General features: G+C 41.3%; 1 pseudogene across 1 annotated transcript; it reads left to right on the top strand.

Annotated features, from left to right (window-relative positions):
• Nucleotides 2632-4675, top strand: NAP1L6P (nucleosome assembly protein 1 like 6, pseudogene; annotated as a pseudogene). The gene has a single exon (NR_027291.1). The product of NR_027291.1 is annotated as a nucleosome assembly protein 1 like 6, pseudogene (transcript).

Below are 5143 nucleotides of genomic sequence, written 5' to 3'. Positions count from 1 at the left end.
TTGTAGCAAAGCAGCAGGTGAGGGTGGGGTTGGGAGGTGAAGAGTTAGAGGGGTAGGAAGGTGGGATGGTGTGCATTGCTTGGTGGGTGGAAAATTACTAAGAAGAGACATAAAGGGTAGGGAGGATTCTTGCTGAACTGACCTAATATGATTCTTGCAGAAGGCAGGCCAAGATGATCCTGTATCACTCAGGGGATGGTGAGGGATGAGGAATTTGATCAGATTTGGAGGGTGATCATATATCAAGATTGGGAAGATCCTGTCTAAACTAGCTTAGCAGGATTCTTGGTAAAACTGGACTAGGCAAGCTGGAGGACAAGGCCCATGGAGGAGGCTTAGTTGAAAAGAGGGCTTAGAAGAGCCTGTCTAAAGTTCAGTCAAGGAGAGTGTCTTTGTCACCTTTTAAACTTTGTCTATGCAAATTAGGGTGTGTGTGTGCTTGTGTGTGTGTGCGTGTAGGATGGTAGGTTGACAGGTGTACAACTAGATCAAAAGAGAGATTTAAAAAAAAAACAGAATTGGGATCCTAGTGTATATTGCTTAGTTCTCCTTGGCAACATTTCATTTAACGTAATCACTTTTGGTTTGAAGACTGCTTGTATGACTATAAAAAGAAATTTACAAATTCGAATTCATCTAAATGAACCTATCCTTTATTTTTTATTCATTTATTATTTATTAAACTAAGTCACTTAACTATCAATAAATAATATTTTACATAATAATTTTGAAGACCATTTATTGACATAGGAAGATGCTCATGATAGGAACCTAAGAGGGCAGGTATGGAAAAGTCAATACAATGATCTTAATTTTTTAAGTTGTGCATTTGTTGTACACACATAAAGAAGAAGAAAATGTACTGATACGATCACACTAATTCTCTCAGGATGGTGAGACTGCTAGTGGTTTCTGTTATTCACTATAAATCCTTCATTTTCCAAATTTTTGAAAGTAAGCTTGTATTATATTTATTATTAGAAAAAGAAAAAAGGTTTTGTAATTATAGAATTTAAAAAAAGAAAACAAAGCAATTTAGGACCTATGACTATGGAACTATGGGACTGAGGCATGTACCTGAACCTTTACTGAAACTTCACGTATTATTTGAGTTTTCTGCTTTCAGTGTATTTTAAATGAGATGTGTTTTAATAAAGCACACACAGTACACACACACACACACACACACACAATAGGAGTGGTTAAACATTGATAGGATATTTACTGAGGAAAACAACATCTTTTCTTTATATTCTATTTAAGCTCTTCTGTCCATTCTCCACACAAGACAGCCTTCAGGACCTATCAGTTGCGACTCCCTAACACGAGCCTTTCAGCCTAGTGGGAAGAATTTCACCCCTGTCCTCTTTCTACTCCCATTTCTTCTCTTCCCCTCTTCTTTGTCATTATCATCTAGGGGTTTTATTAAGTGGAAATCTGGATCTGCTGAAAGTGGCAAAGGCACCACATCTAACATAAGAAAACAACCAATCACCAGTCCCTAGAAACCCGTCATCTAATAGGGTGGCCCTGAGGTAGAGTGAGAAACACTGAACCAATAATACATTTATAATTTTCTAAAACTAACACACACACACACACATCTAAAAACCTGGAAACAAATACACTAAAACCCTAACTGTATTTATGTGATTGTTACACTAAACTGTTATTTTAAAAAACGCTTTATATCTGTAATATAATAACAAACCCTTTTTAAAAATTGAAATCTTTAAATTATAGGTGATCTATATTGAAATATCACCAAAAAATAAAAACCTGTTTTCCCTAGTATAGGTAATTTTAATGTCACATGGTATTCCCTGTTCTGAATAAATCATATTATGTCTTTCATCTATTCTCTAGTGCTGGGTCATCAAGTATTTCCAATTTATTCAGAATTTCAAGACAAATGGTTTGCTTTTCAGTAACATCACTTGACATATGAGCATCCTTTCCATTTTGCCTCCAAAAGAGCCAGCATTGAGAAAGGGTAATTGGCAATTCAGCAGCAGTGCTCTGGGTTATTGATAACCCAGATGTCAAGTGTGAACTTGTCATACATATGACTGTGGGCACTGGTCACCATAAGCCTTCCTTTCCCTCCATTGCCATGCCATCTCATCCCCCTGCACCCCAGTAAATACTAACAGGGTTGAACCAATCTAAAGTGAATGCACGCCCTTCATAGAGATTTTGAAAAGCCAAAATTAGAAAATAAAAGGTTAATGGGGAGTCACATCATCTAAAGCTCTTCACGGCTAATATTTTGATGTTTTTCCCCCTTTTCTTTTTTGTTCGCGTATTTAAATATAAGGCTTTGAGTCACGTTTCTGGCCTATAAAAACACCTCTCGCCTCATTTCTTTGCTCTTCTACATTAAAGTTTTCTCAGGCTTAAAACAGTTTCCGACCGCTTCTCCCCGACCAGATGATTTGCAGTAAGCCCCTCCCGTCTAGAAACTTTGGGAGCTGCTACCGCCAGGAAGGTGAGTGGCACTAGTAATGTGATGGATCTAATCATTTATTGGACGACGGTTTGTCAATCACAGCTACTCAGCAAATAGGGTGAGCTCTTAAGCAAAAAAGAGTTTAGAGAGTCATCTTCTGCGCAATCGGATTGTGGAACCTCCTCCTTTTGCCATGGCAGCTAGTGGGGAAAGCCCTTTAGCCCGCTACTCTTGCCTTCCACGGCTTCCGCCACCCCAGGCCAGCTTCCACAGCAGCTGTAGCTGCTTCGTTCCGCCTCCGTCTTAGCACCCCCAGGTGCCGGCGGCCCGGGCCAAGCCATCGCCTACAGTTCGGTGAGTGTTTCCCTGCCAAAAAGCTAATGATGGAAGGGCTCGGAGAACACAGCACAGCCGGTGAAATGGGCCCATTACTCGGCGCTGTGGCAGCCACAGCCTCTCCGCAGTCTTTGATGGAGTACTCCTCAGACGCAGATTTTATTGAGAGCCTGCCTCTGGTGGTTAAGTACCGAGTGTACACTCTCAAAAAGCTTCAGGCCAAATGTGCCGTGCTAGAGGCCAAGTACCTGAGGGAATTTCATTCTGTCGAGAGGAAGTTTGCCACCATCTATGGACCCTTATTGGAAAAGAGACGGCAGATCACCAATGCACTGTATGAGCCCACGAAAGAGGAGTGTGAGAGGTGAAGTCCAAGGTTGAGGACTATGAGTATAATGAGGTGGCCGGTGATTCTAATGCTCAGATGTATGGTGCAGAGGAGAATCCGGAGTATGAGGACTTGGTGGAGGATCGTGAGGAGGATTTCGAGGATGTCGGGGAGGTGTTTGGGGAGTATGAAGGAATCGAGGGACATAATGTGGACGGAGAAAAAGATAATCCTACAGGGATCCCCGATTTCTGGCTCACGGCTTTATAGAATGCCCAGGAGGTTGCCCCGCTGATTAAGAAATATGACGAGGCCAGGCGCAGTGGCTCACGCCTGTAATCCCAGCACTTTGGGAGGCCGAGGCAGGTGGATCACAAGTTCAGGAAATCGAGACCATCCTGGCTAACACAGTGAAACCCCGTCTCTACTAAAAATACAAAAAAAAAAAAAAAAAAAATTAGCCGGGGGTGGTGGCACACACCTATAGTCCCAGCTGCCCAGGAGGCTGAGGCAGGAGAATCGCTTGAACCCAAGAGGCAGAGGTTGCAGTGAACTGAGATCGCACCACTGCACTCCAGCCTGGGCGACAGAGCGATATTCCGAAAAAACGAAACAACAACAACAAAAATATGACGAGCCCATTCTGAAGCTCTTGCAAGACGTGAAAGTCAAGTTTTCAAAATCAAACTAGCCACTCACTTTTACGCTGGAATTTCACTCTGAACCCAACGACTACTTCACAAATGAGGTGCTGACCGAAAGAAACATACATCCTCAAGTCTAAGCTCGATTAGTCTGACCCCCACCCCTTCAGGGGATCTGCGGTAGAGCGTTGCTTTGGCAGCATGATAGAATGGAAGAAGGGAAAGAACGTCACTGTGCAAACGGTCCTGAAGAGAGACACAGTTTTTGGGGGCTGATGTGTACCGCCACTCAGGAATTTCCCCAAGAGTCCCTTCTTCAATGCTCTCCAGTGGGGCCTAGATGCTAATGAGGATGAGGAAGACTTCTTCATCGCTCACACCTTGCACACTTTTGTCATCCCAAGAGCTGTGTTACACTTTACAGGAGAAGCCCTTGAGGCAGAGCAAGATACGATGATCAGGGAATGTAATAATCCGGTTTATGACAGAATGACTCAGGAGAATTGGGTGACTGCAGTTTATGGTGCTAAAGGCCAAAACCGAAACTCCCAGGCAGAAGTCAATGATTGTTGAAGCAGAATGGTTGGAGTATGTGGGCCTCCAGGTTAACAACTGGCTTTTACAATAACCAAAACTTAATCATTCGTTACTTACAGTCTTAACGTGTCTCTTCTTGGTAGTCTCAGTTTAAAATTATGTCCAAATATATTTAACAATGCATTTCATCTAGCACTCCAGTGGTGTAAACTTTGTCAACAATTTTATTAGGCAGTGAATTCTCAACGTATGTGAAGACCTTACTATTGTGAATCCATGGCTTTTGTCAGGTTGCTACTAGTCTGCATCTATGGAAAATTACCAGAACTTGTAACTAAGATCTATGTTTGGGTTTGTAAAATAAAGTGAGATAGCATCCTTTTCCTAGCCTTCTCATTGAGATAAATGGGTTTCATTATGCTTGCACTAGCAGTGCCTTCATCTCTTCGTTATAGAAATGCAACAGGTTATATTATCTAAAATACACTTGATTAGTGAAGCCGCTAGTATAAAAATAAACATTTATAGCAAATTCACATTTAATGTTAGTTACCTTGTTTGTAGGCTTTTATATTTTATGTTATATAGTGATCTACTCAAAACATAGTTTCTTTATTGCTGTTCAGTGAGTCATGGGTTAAAACCATTTTTCCTAAGGCCTGCCACAGACTGCACCATGTACTGCTGTAAAGTGAGGTTAACGTATGCATTTTTGTTTCTGGAATGTTCTCATCTTTAATGGAAATGGATTTCCTTACATTATTTTTAAGCTTTATTTCCCCATGTTTGTTCATTCCAAGATAAAATTACTACAGATTTTAAATATTGTGTTCCTTCTGAAGGTATTCA

The sequence above is a fragment of the Homo sapiens genome, chromosome X (assembly GCF_000001405.40).
Source record: "Homo sapiens chromosome X, GRCh38.p14 Primary Assembly".
Taxonomy (NCBI): Eukaryota; Metazoa; Chordata; class Mammalia; order Primates; family Hominidae; genus Homo; species Homo sapiens.
This window is presented reverse-complemented; position numbering and strand designations above follow the sequence as displayed.